The sequence below is a fragment of the Homo sapiens genome, chromosome 2, assembly GCF_000001405.40.
Source record: "Homo sapiens chromosome 2, GRCh38.p14 Primary Assembly".
NCBI lineage: Eukaryota > Metazoa > Chordata > Mammalia > Primates > Hominidae > Homo > Homo sapiens.
This window is the reverse complement of record NC_000002.12, coordinates 205,148,238-205,165,113: the sequence shown is the minus strand read 5'-3', so window position 1 is coordinate 205,165,113 and position 16,876 is coordinate 205,148,238. Positions and strand designations below refer to the sequence as shown.

The 16,876-nt window shown below is 38.5% G+C and overlaps 1 protein-coding gene across 18 annotated transcripts in view; it reads right to left on the bottom strand.

The window, feature by feature from the left end:
- Positions 1-16,876, bottom strand: part of PARD3B (par-3 family cell polarity regulator beta) — a 1,074,688-nt gene that overhangs the window by 455,049 nt on the left and 602,763 nt on the right. For 15 of the 18 annotated variants that reach the window (XM_047443208.1, NM_001302769.2, NM_205863.4 and 12 more), the window contains one exon: positions 6,207-6,392. The exons of the other annotated variants lie outside the window; for them this stretch is intronic. In XM_047443208.1, coding sequence (XP_047299164.1) covers positions 6,207-6,392 — 186 coding nt within the window. The remainder of the gene's footprint in view (positions 1-6,206; positions 6,393-16,876) is intronic. 18 annotated transcript variants of the gene reach the window in all.

Genomic DNA, 16,876 nt, shown 5'->3' with positions numbered 1-16,876 from the left:
GAATAATTTGCATGAATGCCTAACTAGGTTAGAATTTCGGAAGCCATTTCAACATACTTATCTTATTGATTTACTTCTTGGTGGTGGTTTTTATGCACTTGGCACTTGCTTATACTGAGATTGCTTAAAACCAGTCACTATAAAAATGGGTACAACCAGAATGCTAGAACAAAAACGTGTGTATATGTATGCAGAGTTCATACTGTGGTCAGAGTTTTATTTGAGCATTCTGGTTTGTGTCCATTTTCCTAGTGACTGGTCTTACGTGTGTGTGTGTGTGTGTGTGTGTGTATACATATATATGGCCTATAGGTACCCATAATGAAGACGAATATAGCTTTTCAGGGGAAAGTTACTATTTTCAGAGCCAAAGCATCATTACCATGCTATATCAACTTTTGTAGATTATAATTTCCTTTTTCATTAGGAATATCAACCCTTAAATTTTTTCAAGCCCACTGAGACAATCACGGAGTCCAAAATACACATCAAAATGTTGTAGCATTCCAAAATTTTATTCAGTATAGTGTACATGTAAATTTATTTCCTGTTTGCATTTCCATTCATGAAATAAAAATGCAAAAGTGATAAAGATCAGCAAGAAAAAACAATGATAGATGCTGGAATTATGGGATTTTTTAAAAAAAGAGATGGGGTCTCGCTGTGTTGCCCAGGCCTAGAGCACAGTGACTATTCACAGGCACGATTATACTGCATTACAGTCTGGAACTCCTGAGCTCAAGTGATCCTCCTGCTTAGTTGAAAATACAGGTGCCCATTACTGTGCCAGCTACTTTGAGATTTTAAAAGTAATGTTATATTACATTTTAATAGTTCCTATGGTAGAAAATTCATAAATAAGCCTGACTATGTGAATTAACATATGCTAACATTTTCAGATTTTTTTAAAACGGAAAATTAGCTAAAATGTATTTTTCCTAGGCTTAAATTAATAACTTCCTTTTTTAAGGTCAAATTCTTATTGGATATATAGTGATTATGAATTTATGTATATTTCCAGGCAAAGTTCCTGCTTTTAAAGTCCTTAAAATGTATCACATCTTTGTGGTTAGAAATAAAATGTTAGTGTTTGGCTTCTTACATTTGAGGAGTTTCAATAGCATTTTGACATTCTCACATTATCTGGTCCTTTTGCCAGAGGTAACAGCTTAGAAGTCACTGACTACCAGTAAGGATCCTCAAGGTTCTCCCACCAGTAGAAAACATTATAAATTTTAAGAAAAATGGCCAGTTGAAGAAATCATTTAACATTAGTTTTCCTTAAAAAGCTGTCCCTTTTATCTTCCTTTGAATTCATTAATTATAGATCTATCACATGATTTATAGATACCGGCAGAGATGGGGGTGGAAATTAGTCACGCTGGGAGCTCCTACTGGAGTTAAGTAGTTTGGATGCTGTTAAATGTCTCACATGACAATGAGACATGGAGATTCAGGATCAAGCGCCATGTTTCTGGATATTCTAGAGATGTGCATTTTCTCTCCAAAAATTTAGAGTTTAGTCATTTAAAAATATCATGATTGCTTGTATTGGTCCAAATTCTTTCTTTTGCCCATTACTAAACAGTGCAGATTATGAAATCCTGCATCCTTCAGAAGGAGAATCCCAAATTTCCTAAGCACACAAGAATCAAATTACTTCAATTATGTCTATTTCATATTCTGAGTGCATACATTTACAATTAGCCATGTCAGGCATTTTTCTTTCACTTAATTTCTTCATCATCAAGAGAATTTATTAAGCACAAACCTGGCTAATTAATTCTCTAGAGAATAACTGATAGTCTTAAATGTATTCTCTCTATTTAGCAGCCCCTAAACAATCTACCTGATATACGACATTCTTCCTTTAGCAAAAATTCCTGTAAATTTGAATTCTTACCTTACTAGGTCAAAGTTTCAGTAGGAGACATACCACTCCCAAAGTCAGCATAGTGAAGTCAAAAACACCATTCAGAACTGGTACAACAGACTTCATGGGACTTTTATTCTCACTACAGTGTGTTCTTACAATATCTTACCTAACTTTAAAGAAAGCACTATTCTAGTTATGTATACATTTTTAAAGTAATTCTTTAGGGTAGCAAAACAAGCAACTTAAGGAAGTGTAGTCCATAGATGTAAAAATTTTTACTAAAAATTTTCAGTTAATATGGTACATGAAAAGCAAAGCAAAGAAAAACCACTGATCTCAAAATGAATTTAAAATGTTTAGCAAATGAACATAAAAATATCTAACATCTTCAGACGGATCATTTAGACTTCATTTGTGCTTTCCTGGACAAAATAAAACGCAAATTTTGATGTGGATTTAGGGACATTTTGATGTGGATTTAGGGAAAGGTATTTTTTCTAACTGCAACAGAGCTGATACTTCTTTTTATTGAACAGCAACAGCACTACCACATAAATTCCAACCACAAAAGCAACATTTTAGAAAATCATTCTCATGGATGTCGTAACTTCATTCTGCTCATAATTCTTTCAGAAGCAGTTGACATATATGCTTGTATTTAGTATATTTTAGTTCTAGAAGCAACTACACTGTATGTCAGGGGCAAACGCCCAGGAAGAAAGACAGTAACTAAATGAAACCACAAACATGTAATGCATGCTAGTGCTTAGGCACATTGGCATCAATACTCTAAGAAGCAATATTCCGCTGTTATGGTCAATGGCCATATAGTACACTAAGAGGCATAGCTACAAGTTATGCTTCAGAGGGGCCTATGAAGAGCTCCGTATGACAAAACAGCCTGTAATCAAAAGTGGTGCAGCCTGATGCATGCACAGAAGAGTTTCTGGGCTTTATTTCTTAATGTACAGACTTGAAGTTAAATATCAAGTTGAGATTAAGCATTTGGATAATTCTGAGCAGGGTAGAATTATTGTTCTGTTGGTTTTTAGAATGAGTCAGGGACTCACTTCCAAGAGGGCGTCCTAGAGTAGCTGGCTGCTCTTGTTTCCAAATAGAGATTTACATCCTCTATTAGAAATAATTCAAACAAGAGATGACATGACAGAAAGCAGTAGACTGAGAATTAAGGAAAACAAAATAAAACAAAACAAAACAAAGCAATGCCCTCAATTAGAGTCGAGGTATTCAGGGGTTTTACATCTGGCAAGAAGTAGCCTATCTTTGTTTAGACCAATGGAAGCCCCCAGGAGAATCCAGCACACAGAATGCACAGGAAGAATTTGGTCATATCTTTCAAAGTAGTTTAGTTTTCAAAAAATCCACCTTCCCTAAAGGGAAAAACACCTTGAGAACTAATTAGTGGTATGAAGGGCGAGGAGAAAAAGATTGTGCTCTGGTTGAAAGATTATTTTGTTGATTCCGGGTAAAAACCTAGGGCCAAATGCTGAGACAAAGATGTTCCCAGTGCTGATCTCTCCTCTGCCCCAGAGACACTGTAGTCTGTTACATGTGTATCCTCTCAACAGGGACAGGAACAAAGTCTCAAAACAATTTTCCTAAGACAGAATCCTGAATCATAGAATGGGTGGCAATTTTCCGAGGCGTAACAGTGGATTACTGGAACAACAGTAGGAGAATGGAAAAATACTTTTTTTTCCCCTGGTTAATCAGATTTTTTGTGAACAAATCTCAGGCCTCTACCCTTTACACTGCAAAAGGTAAACAAGACAAATGGATACTAAACATTCACAAGAAGGCTAAGTTCATGACTGATGCCTCTTACTGTTTAAGATCAGCTATAAATATGCTGTCCAGTGGTTTTTAATGGTGTGATTGTCTGACTCAGCAGACCAGTGTCAGGAAAGAAATTTACATAAATGGAAAGTGAAATCTTTCTGCAAGAAACAGGACTGTTAGAAACTGCTTAGGTAAGGAGATGCTCACTTACACAAACATGGATATACATATTAAACCTGCTCGCCAATATCTGCTTGAGCTTAAGTTATTGCCCATAAAAAAGCTAAGATGTTTGCTTTTAATTTCCGAAAAGTCATCTCAGTTTCAATTTTACTTGGAGTAAATTCTACAAATAGAGCTGTCATTAGGAATAAGAAGACTAATTTCAAGCTGGTATCCACAAACATGACCAAGAACTCATCCTCAAACCTAGATGGCTTGGCTAAGGATGATAGCACCATACAAGACACCTCCAGGCGAACAGGCCCTGCTCTCTAGGAACATGAATGGATCATATGGAAGAGCTTCATTTCAGTGCAGCATAACGCAGGTTCTGGAGTCAGACTGCCTGGATTCAAATCTTAAAGTAATTCCTGGCTATCTGACCACAGGAAAGGCACTAAAGGGTCTAATCTGTAATTTCCACTTTGATAAAATGGACTGAAAATAATCCAATGTAAATGTGAATAAAGTTAGATAACCCATATAAAACACCTATCCTAGTGTCCAGCATATACTAAGCACAATAAATGTTCATTGCTATTGTTGTTGTTGCTATTACTACTATTTCGCTTTTGCTCCTGCTTATGTATTTCTGAGCCAGTTTTATAGATGGAGTGATGGGACTCAATTCTTTACCCTTCTCTGTATCTACATCTTTGCCATAACTTCATCGTGGCTGGAGTGTGTTTTCTACTGCTCAACCTTGGACTCAGCCATATGACTTGCTTTGACCAGTGGCCTATGTGTGGGGTGACAGTGTGCTAGCTTGGAGCCCGCGGATTCACCCACTGCCGCTGGCCCTCTGACAGCTCGAGGCATGAGAGGGACATGCGCCAGCTAGCCTGCTGATCCAAGGAGCAGGAGAAAGAAGTGCAGCACACTCAGATCTGCAGAGTTACAGTGGGATCAAGAGACACCAGCCTGAATCAGAATCCTACCCAAACCCCAGCTCCCCCACACAGAGCTATGAGAAAAATAAAGGCTTATTGATGTGTATATTACTGAAAAATTATGACTATTTATTATGCGACAAAAGCTAACTAAACCAAGGAGTAAACTGAAGAGGTGTCTGTCCAAAGTACATTTATTTCCCAGTGAAAAAGGCATTATCTCCACATCTAGTCTGAAACAAAAGTGGAAGGGTAAGTGTGAGACGACAGTTGCTTCAACAAAGCCAGAATTCTAGGTGCAGGGGTGCTCTGTTGAGTGTAACGGGGCCTTCTTGGCTTTGCTGTGGGAGAGGATAGACATTATTCATATCACGATTATTTTCAGATGGCTAACATTTATCAGCAGCTGGTGACAGGCACTGTGCTAAGCACTTGACACATATTGTCTCTTTTAGTCTTAACAGCAGCATGAGGAACCAGGCACTGCTAATTTCACAAATGAGGAAACTGAGGCATGTCAAGGCTGAGCAGCTTACCTACATGCACAGGGAGAGAGTAGGTAAGGCAGAATTCAAACTCAAGAAGTCTCCTTGCACGGTGTGAGATAATAATGAGGGTGGCAAGAGGTGCAAACGTGTATCCTTCCTCTATCATCACTTTATTGTTTTCATCACATTGTGTGATTTAATCCTGGAAACCTATGAAGTAGTTATTATTTATTATCACCATTCTACCGGTGAGGAAATGGGAGACAGCTGGTCAAGACCCTTGCCTACATTTCCATACAGCTAGCAAGGACTGAGCTGGACTTGAACACCGGCCATCTAGCTAACCAGTACACTATACTCACCTCAACGTGAAAGGACTGAAGCATGATCTTCCTTCTTTTTCTGGAAACCTAGAAAACTAAGCTTCTCTAAGTATACAAAAGGAAATATGCATTCTGGGCACCATGGTTTTCTTCAAGTGTATAAAATGTGATAAATGGCCTTTAATTTATACTACAATCACTCTCAGGCTCCACTGAGCTTTCATTCTTGCAAGCACAACTGTCTTATTTGCTGCCTTTATGTTTACTTGTTTTTAGTTTTGTTTTTCTGATCGTGTACTTTTAGGCTCAACTCTTGTCAGTTTACAAATCCAGAGGAATCCTATTGCAGTAATAAAAAGTATGCAAAAAAGAATGTGAATCATGTTGGGTTTTTAGAGGTAACTCTAAGAAGTAAAAATAACCAGTTAAGGTACAAAAACAGCAGCCAGTTATTTCCCAGATCTGTTCACACATATATTTTTTGTATCTGGCGGGAAAGTCTCAGTGGCCTCAAGTCTTCAGACACTTTCTCCATTCAGTCTCTAAGTACAACAGTCACATCTCCAAGTGCCTTCTCAAAGGATGTACAAATGTCATTCCTACCCACCTTAAAAGCAGCGCCTCCATGAATGATGGATTTGATAAAAATCCCCAAGTCTGTTCCAGTTTCTCTGGATTTGTTCCCTTTTAAGCTCACCCCGAGGCCAGCAGAACCTGAATCATTCAGGGGGATCTCAAAGGTGAGCTGCTCGCTTGTCTCCAGAGAGAGTGCACAGCAGTCAGGTTCTCCTTTCTGTTAGGGGAATACACATGAAAAGAGTGAAGAGAAGAAAGCAGATTAATATTTCACTCTCTCAGATGACCAGACACAGATGCAATCAGTAGGACAGGATGACTGGACCTCTCACAGCTGTAATCGGCTCCTGGCAGGCAAAGGCTGGGTTTAGCTCTCCACAAGGAGCCACAGTCACATCCATGGAGCAGGGGAAGAGGTTTCAGGGAATACTATTCGGTAATGGTCAATAGAGAGGATCGTTTGGCAAGTCAGAGCGATGCAATCTGAAACACCTCGCAAGCCTTTGGAAATTTACTAAGATATTCTCCATAATAAAAAAGGCTGGACATTAGACTTAGGGTGCCCTGGGTATCAGAAGAGATCTTAGAGATAATGGAGTCTTAACATCTTCACTTTACAGATGAAGGAACAGAGTTTAGTGTAGAAACGTCTTAAAATTTCAGGAAAATATGGGGCATATATAATTTAAAACATATCATTTACTATGGAAACAACACTATTGGTAAAGTTTGTTAATAAGACACAGTAAAAATGAGATGTTACTTTAAAGTTAGAGAAAAACGATTTATAATGGATATCATCAAATGAAATTTCACTTTGTCAAAACTCATGCTTTCAGCCTGCATCTTCAGGTAGTATAACTCACTGCCATTAAATTTTTAAACCTAAACAAAAATGATTATGCACAACAAACATTCATGTCATATTTGATAAATGACACCTAGCCGCAAGCATACTGGTCTCAAGAAACACAGAGTATGGTGGAAAAAGGCATATTTAGGGTTCAGGTCTCCAGGGAGAAGTATGTGGTTAATCATATTTGGTCCCCAGTGTTTTCAAATATACAGCAGTGGGAACAGACAAGTGCTGTCCACATGAGCATCTTTGTGGGTCTCCCTTCTGCATTCCTCTCAAGCTTGTAGAAATGTGAAACTGCCACAGTGTTCAACTGAAAAATCTGACAATGAGATACTCCTGGAAATGATCAACTCATTCTAGGTCGGTTCCTTCCTCTCTATAATTATATCTAGAGACTCCCATCTTAAGGTCACATTGAAGGGACTCTTATGTAAAATTACATATTTAAAAAATTACTATGAATGTCTGAATGTCAGTCACATATAACTATAAAATCAGAAGTAGCAAAGAACCCATAATTAAAACAGGATTAAGAGGTCGGATCACAGCCAGATCCATTGACGCGGCATTTTCAACCCCTCCCCAAATAGAGAAAATCCACAGCTAACTTTTAAAGAAATAGTTCTTTCATTTAATTTTCTTATAAGTGAAGTTGTCTGTGAAGATTTTGACAATATGTTGTTCAAAGAAATGAAACTTTATGGCTTAATAAATCTATTACAAGTTAGCTCTTTCAGCTAACTCATTATATTATTACCTAAAAAACAAATCCCATTATTTGATTCCAATTTCCATTGGAATGCCAGAGTTTCGTACTAAATGTAAACTATTAGCCTTCACCTTTGTCTTTCAAAATGCCCAATTTAGAATCCATAACATTTCAAAACCATTTATGTTTCCAGGCCTCTCTGGGATTTGCTTAATTTCAGTCTAATAAAGTTCCACTGAATTAAAGTGCAAATTAAAGAAAAACCATCCTACTGTAAGTTTGTGAACACCATTTCAAGAGAAAAACTAGAAAGGTTCTCTGGCTTTTGTCTATCAGAGACAAAGAGACAAGAACTAATTTTGCTTTAGTAATACCTTCAAATCACTTCATTTTATGATTAAATCATTCCTCTTTTGGCAATTATATTTAATTCTTAGCAAGACTGACAACCACTCTTTGCACTAACACTTATCATTTATTATTTAAGTGGTAGAAGCAAAATAGAAATCAGGTTGCATTATCATTATCTTTTCTTTTGAAAATTTTTTTTAAGTCTCTGACATCTGAGATTCAAGAATACAACAGAAACAATATACTAGAGGCTAACAATGATTGACTACTTCATTTCTGAGTACTTTACACATATTAATACACTTATGCTTCACAACAAACCTGTGAGGTTTATTGTCATGTCCATTCCACAGATGAGGAAACTGAGGTGCACAGCAAATAAACGCCATGTTTACAGCCCAGAAGACTTGGAATGTGGAAGCTTTGTGGGGCTCAAGCACAGTGTGGTTCCTATGTCAGACTCTCTTTTTTTTTTTATCTTTTCCTCTAGTGAATACTTCTGAGTGGTCTGCTGCATTTTCATGTTTGACATTATTCAATATCCATTTTCAACAAAAGTATACAATTTTAAGGTGACACATTTTCTTTTTTTTTAAATTTTATTATTATTATACTTTAAGTTTTAGGGTACATGTGCACAATGTGCAGGTTAGTTACATATGTATACATGTGCCATGCTGGTGTGCTGCACCCATTAACTCGTCATTTAGCATTAGGTATATCTCCTAATGCTATTCCTCCCCCCCCCGCCCACCCCACAACAGTCCCCAGAGTGTGATGTTCCCCTTCCTGTGTCCATGTGTTCTCATTGTTCAATTCCCACCTATGAGTGAGAACATGTGGTGTTTGGTTTTTTGTCCTTGCGATAGTTTACTGAGAATGATGATTTCCAATTTCATCCATGTCCCTACAAAGGACATTAACTCATCATTTTTTATGGCTGCATAGTATTCCATGGTGTATATGTGCCACATTTTCTTAATCCAGTCTATCACTGTTGGACATTTGGGTTGGTTCCAAGTCTTTGCTATTGTGAATAGTGCCGCAATAAACATACGTGTGCATGTGTCTTTATAGCAGCATGATTTATAGTCCTTTGGGTACATTACCCAAGAAAAAAACAAACAACCCCATCAAAAAGTGGGCGAAGGACATGAACAGACACTTCTCAAAGGAAGACACTTATGCAGCCAAAAAACACATGAAAAAATGCTCACCATCACTGGCCATCAGAGAAATGCAAATCAAAACCACAATGAGATACCATCTCACACCAGTTAGAATGGCAATCATTAAAAAGTCAGGAAACAACAGGTGCTGGAGAGGATGTGGAGAAATAGGAACACTTTTACAATATTTGTCGGACTGTAAACTAGTTCAACCATTGTGGAAGGTGACACATTTTCTATAGATAAACTATGATGTGGAAAGTGTTTTATTATTTTTTCTTTATAAATGTATATTTTAATTGACAAATCAAAATTTTTTTATTTTCATTTTTTTTAAAGTTTACTCTGTGGTTTATTCTAAACAAATTCAATTTAGCATCCAGGTATTACTGCTCCACTGGCCAACTGAAGTACTTATTTTTAAAAGTGTATTTCTGACTTTAAACACTTAAATCCATTGTGGTTTATTATGTCAATGTATATTTTGGAGCAGGCATAGCTCTGTGAAAGCCTGTTGAAATTTCTTAAAGGAGTCTGGGAAAGGACTCAGCTATAGAGCCGCTGCCCCTATTTGCAGAGAGCATGGATCTACACCGCAGACACCTCATGGCATATTCTGAAACTGTCCCTCCTAAAAGGGGCTGAATTCAGGCCCCAGTGGGGTAAATGTGTCAACCAACCAATAAGTTGTTTTTCATTTAGTACAAACAAAATTCAAGAACTAGCATCTGTGTGGGTGAGTGAGCTCATATTCTGAAATAAGAATAACCTAAATTTGTTTTTTTTTTTGAAATGAAATTTATTATTATTATACTTTAAGTTCTAGAGTACATGTGCACAATGTGCAGGTTTGTTACATATGTATACATGTGCCATGTTGGTGTGCTGCACCCATTAATTTGTCATTTACATTAGGTATTTCTCCTAATGCTATCCCTCCCCCAGGCCCCCACCCCACAACAGGCCTGGGTGTGAAGTTCCCCACCCTGTGTCCAACTGTTCTCATTGTTCAATTCCCACCTATGAGTGAGAACATGCGGTGTGTGGTTTTCTGTCCTTGCGATAGTTTGCTCAGAATGATGGTTTCCAGCTTCATCCATGTTCCTACAAAGGACATGAACTCATCCTTTTTTATGGATGCATAGTATTCCATAGTGTATATGTGCCATGTTTTCTTAATCCAGTCTGTCATTGATGGACATTTGGGTTGGTTCCAAGTCTTTGCTATTGTGAATAGTGCCGCAATAAACATATGTGTGCATGTGTCTTTATAGTAGCATGATTTATAATCCTTTGGGTATATACCCAGTAATGGGATTGATGGGTCAAATAGTATTTCTAGTTCTAGATCCTTGAGGAATCGCCACACTGTCTTCCACAATGTTTGAACTAGTTTACAGTCCCACAACAGTGTAAAAGTGTCCCTATTTCTCCACATCCTCTCCAGCACCTGTTGTTTCCTGACTTTTTAATGATTGTCATTCTAATTGGTGTGAGATGGTGTCTCATGGTGGTTTTGATTTGCATTTCTCTGATGGCCAGTGATGATGAGCATGTTTTCATGTGTCTGTTGGCTACATAAATGTCTTCTTTTGAGAAGTGTTTTTTCATATCCTTCACCCACTTTTGGATGGGGTTGCTTGTTTTTTTCTTGTAAATTAGTTTAAGTTCTTTGTAGATTCTGGATATTAGCCCTTTGTCAGATGGGTAGATTGCAAAAATTTTCTCCCATTCTGTAGGTTGCCTGTTCACTCTGATGGTAGTTTCTTTTGCTGTGCAGAAGCTCTTTAGTTTAATTAGATCTCATTTGTCTATTTTGGCTTTTGTTGCCATTGCTTTTGGTGTTTTATTCATGAAGTCCTTGCCCATGCCTATGTCCTGAATGATATTGCGTAGGTTTTCTTCTAGGGTTTTTATGCTTTTAGGTCTAACATTTAAGTCTTTAATCCATCTTGAATTAATTTTTGTACAAGATGTAAGGAAGGGATCCAGTTTCAGCTTTCTACATATGGCTAGCCAGTTTTCCCAGCACCATTTATTAAATAGGGAATCCTTTCCCCATTTCTTGTTTTTGTCAGGTTTGTTGAAGATCAGATGGTTACGGATGTATGGTATTATTTCTGAGGGCTCTGTTCTGTTCCATTGGTGTATATCTCTGTTTTGGTACCAGTACCATGCTGTTTTGGTTACTGTAGCCTTGTAGTAAAGTTTGAAGTCAGGTAGCGTGATGCCTCTAGCTTTGTTCTTTTTGGTTAGGATTGTCTTGGCAATGTGGGCTCTTTTTTGGTTCCATATGAACTTTAAAGTAGTTTTTTCCAATTCTGTGAAGAAAGTCATTTGTAGCTTGATGGGGATGGCATTGAATCTATAAATTACCTTGGGCAGTATGGCCATTTTCATGATATTGATTCTTCCTATCCATGAGCATGGAATGTTCTTCCATTTTGTTCCAAGATGGTCACATAGGAACAGCTCCAGTCTACAGCTCCCAGCATGAGTGACACAGAAGACGGGTGATTTCTGCCTTTCCAATTGAGCTATGAAGAGAGCAGTGGTTCTCTCAGCATGGAGTTTGAGATCTGAGAACAGACAGACTGCCTCTTCAAGTGGGTCCCTGACCCCCAAGTAGCCTAACTGGGAGACACCTCCCAGTAGGGGCTGACTGACACCTCATACAGCCGGGTGCCCCTCTGAGATGAAGCTTCCAGAGGAAGGATCAGGCAGCAACGTTTGCTGTTCTGCAATATTTGCTGATCTGCAGCCTCTGCTGGTGATACCCAGGCAAACAGGGTCTGGAGTGGACCACCAGCAAACTCTAACAGACCTGCAGCTGAGCGTCCTGAGTGTTAGAAGGAAAACCAACAAACAGAACGGAATAGGAGCAACATCAACAAAAAGGACATCCACACCAAAACCCCATCTGTAGGTCACCATCATCAAAGACCAAAGGTAGATAAAACCACAAAGATGGGGAAAAAACAGAGCAGAAAAGCTGAAAATTCTAAAAACCAGAGCACCTCTTCTCCTCCAAAGGATCGCAGCTCCTCACCAGCAAGAGAACAAAGCTGGACAAAGAATGACTCTGACAAGTTGACAGAAGTAGGCTTCAGGAGATCGGTAATAACAAACTTCTCCGAGCTAAAGGAGGATATTCGAACCCATTGCGAGGAAGCTAAAAACCTTGAAAAAAGATTAGACGAATGGCTAACTAGAATAAACAGTATAAAGAAGACCTTAAATGACCCGATGGAGCTGAAAACCATGGCAAGAGAACTACGTGACACATGCACAAGCTTCAGTAGCCGATTCGATCAAGTGGAAGAAAGGGTATCAGTGATTGAAGATCAAATGAATGAAATGAAGCGAGAAGTTTAGAGAAAAAAGAGTAAAAAGAAATGAACAAAGCCTCCAAGAAATATGGGACTATGTGAAAAGACCAACTCTGTGTCTGATTGGTATACCTGAAAGTGACAGGGAGAATGGAACCAAGTTGGAAAACACTCTTCAGGATGTTACCCAGGAGAACTTCCCCAACCTAGCAAGGCAGGCCAACATTCAAATTCAGGAAATACAGAGAACGCCACAAAGATACTCCTTGAGAAGAGCAACTCCAAAACACATAACTGTCAGATTCACCAAGGTTGAAATGAAGGAAAAAATGTTAAGGGCAGCCAGAGAAAGGTCAGGTTACCCACAAAGGGAAGCCCATCAGACTAACAGCTGATCTCTTGGCAGAAACTGTAAAGGCTAGAAGAGAGTAAGGCCCAATATTCAACATTCTTAAAGAAAAGAATTTTCAACCCAGAATTTCATATCCTGCCAAACTAAGCTTCATAAGTGAAGGAGAAATAAAATCCTTTACGGAGAAGCAAATGCTGAGAGATTTTGTCACTACCGGGCCTGCCTTACAACAGCTCCTGAAGGAAGCACTAAACATGGAAAGGAACAACTGGTACCAGCCACTGCAAAAACATGCTAAATTGTAAAGACCATCCAGGCTAGGAAGAAACTGCATCAACTAATGGGCAAAATATCCAGCTAACATCATAATGACAGGATCAAATTCACACATAACAATATTAACCTTAAATGTAAATTGGCTAAATGCCCCAATTAAAAGACAGACTGGTAAATTGGATGAAGAGTCAAGACACATCAGGAGACCCATCTCACATGCAGAGACACAAATAGGCTCAAAATAATGGGATGGAGGAAGATCTACCAAGCAAATGGAAAACAAACAAACAAACAAACAAAAAAGCAGGGGTTGCAATCCTAGTCTCTGATAAAACAGACTTTAAACCAACAAAGTTCAAAAGAGACAAAGAAGGTCATTACATAATGGTAAAGGGATCAATTCCACAAGAAGAGGTAACTATCCTAAATATATATGCACCCAATACAGGAGCACCCAGATTCATAAAGCAAGTCCTTAGGGACCTACAAAGAGACTTAGACCCCCACACAGTAATAATGGGAGACTTTAACACCCTGCTGTCAACACTAGACAGATCAATGAGACAGAAAGTTAACAAGGATATCCAGGAGTTGAACTCAGCTCTGCACCAAACAGACCTAATAGACATCTATAGAACTCTCCACCCCAAATCAACAGAATACACATTCTTCTCAGCACCATATCACACTTATTCCAAAATTGACCACATAGTTGGAAGTAAAGCACTCCTCAGCAAATGTAAAAGAACAGAAATCATGACAAAACAAAATTATATATATTTATGGAGTACAGCATGGTGTTTTAAACTATGTATACATTGTGGAATAGCTAAATTGAGCTAATTAACATATGCATTACCTTATATTCTTACGAATTTGTATGTGTGTGTGTTGAGAACACTTAAATTCTACTCTCCTAGAGATTTTCAAGTATAAACTACAATGTTATTAACTATAGTCACTATGTAGTAGGATACACCTCTTGAACTTATTCCTCCTAACTGAGATTGTGTCTTTTGACCAACATTTCCCCACTCTCCTCCTCCTCTGTGCCTGTAACCACCATTCTACTCTGTGAGTTCAACTGTCAGACTCTTCACTGCCATACTATACTGTATCCTTGTGTCTCAACTTTTGTCCATTCCATGATTTGACCCTCAAGAAATTCCAGGACAGATTTCTACAATGACAGTAAGACACTATGCCATTTACATTCTCCACCCAAGTACAGTTATGTTTTATATCTTTCTTATGCTGTACCAGGCTTAAGCCATAATTAGTGCCCTCTAATAATAGCAAACTTCCCAAATGGTAAAGGAAACCATTACAGTAGTTAACACAGCCATTTCCTCTGTTAGAAATAAATGTCCCTTTATCTAACATTAAAAAAATCAATATGCTGAATGCCTCCCTCCAAGAATCCTGGTTCAACCAGTAACTCTCAAAATTAAACTCAAATCTTGCCAGACAGCATTTTGTAGCAAAATGGAAATGGGTATAAAGTACTACCAAGTGCCCTAAATGCCAGACCTTAGTGATATGACGAACCCCCAAGCAGTGGCACATCTAGACCTCGGATTCTCCTGGTTTCCATCTTTCAGGCAACAGCTCTTTCCACTCACAGATTTCAAGCGTGTGTGCACACACACACACACACACACACACACACACACACACACACAGAGCCTGGCTGGCGTAGTAAGGGAAATCTTGTGAATTTCATTTAGTTTTAAATCTTTTCATTACTTGTTATTCTTTGCCACTAGAGGCTCTGTCCTTGAGATTCCCAGAGCCAGGCCCAGAATGGATGCTCTAATGCCTCCCCTGCATAGGTGTAGGCCTAATGCCCAGCACCTGCCCAGGGCTGGTCATACAGAACCTTCAACTTAGGCTTTTTTGACCTTGGCACAACTGATATTTGAAGCCTGATAATTTTTTGTTGTGGGTGTCTGTCCAATGCAGTGCCTGATATTTGACCAAGTCCTTGGCTACTACCCACCAGACGTTAGCAGTACCCCCTTCCCCAAGCTGTGACAATTAAAATGCTTTCAGACATTGCCAAATGTTACCTGGGGTCAAAATCACTTCCAATTAAGAACTACTGCCCTGAATCAACAATTGGCAAATGCAGTCAAATTCAAAGCAACCAGGGCCCAGAAGGTGTTTTAGCAACAGGCTGCATTGCTGCCTGTTCATATGTTTCCAAGTCCCAGGAAGGGGTGGCAGTTTTTACTGTGAGGGATGCCAGATATCTCTGAGTGGAGAAAATAGGAGATACTTCAGCACAATTAAGATGAAAAAGTGTTAGATCCACAGGTTCATGACTGAACACTTAGTTGGTCAGAATGAACTGCTGGAGAATCCTGTAATTGTTATATTTCTAGTTACATGGCAGCTAATTTTCCAGAGGAAGTATGATCTCTGTGGGATGAACAGAGGAGGACGGGTGGTAGAAAACAAACTTATTGGTACATATATAAAATGTTTCCTTTTACTTATATAGGAATCCAGGATGGGGCAAGGCACAGTGGCTCATGCCTGTAATCCCAGGACTTTCAGAAGCCGAGGCGGGGAGATGACTTGAGGTCAGGAGTTTGAGACCAGCCTGGCCAACATGGGTTTAAGAATCGGAAAGAGGAAACTGAAGAGTCTACCTGGTCAGGCCTCGCTAGATATACTAACCATTTTTTAGAAAACAAATATCAAAAGTAATTACTTGGCATGAGAGGAAGAAAGAGAGGAAGGAAGATGGATGACTGGGGAGACATCCATACTATTACCTTAAGAGTGTTCCAAATAAGGCCATCTCTGGAATCACAAATGTCTTGTACTGCAAAGCAGTGCCTGATTCACGCATGCAAGTGGTAATAACCCAGCCTTTCAAAGCCCAGGGGAATCCACCAGTCCACAGGGCCAACATCCAATTTCCCAGAAGCCCAGCTCAGACCTGAAAGCATCCATGCTGAACCTTTTATGGCCCTCATTTCATTAAATGCTGTGCTCTTGGCTCAGCACGAGCAACCTCTGGATGTCTTTGCCTTGCCTCCCAAATGTGTAATTAGTCTGTGTTGTGAGCAGCTTACTTTATGTAAGAATTATGTTTCACATGCAATCATTTTGTCAATTACCAAAACTCAAACAAAAGAGCTTTTTTTTTTTAAAAAAAGAATAACTTTTAAAATATATAAAGCAAAAGCCATATCTGGCAATTCTGCCAGGATATTTTATAATAAGCTTATCCATTGTTAACTTTTGCCTAAGTAAATTCTAAGAAATTTAAGGTGACAAAACTTTTGTTACAGCTAAATAAATTTTCACAACAATGAAAGGATAAGACACCTGCAAGACACTTAATTTTCTGAAATTATTTAATCTTCTGAAGAAGCACTGGGTAGCTATTATAAGCATGAAAGGTTTTTGGCCAATTGGATTATATAAAATTCAGAATGTGGATATCATCCTAGAGTAGGGATCAGAGACTCATTTCAACAGCAGGGAGGCATTTTATTTTCAATTGTACTTTTCTGAGGGTAAAGAAAAGAAAAAGATGAGAGATGAGCAGGCACATGTCAAAGAAAAAGGTGATCTAAGGAGGATCATTTTTATTATACTAAATAGTAAAGGACATTTCCCTTACTACTGCTGATGTAATCTTG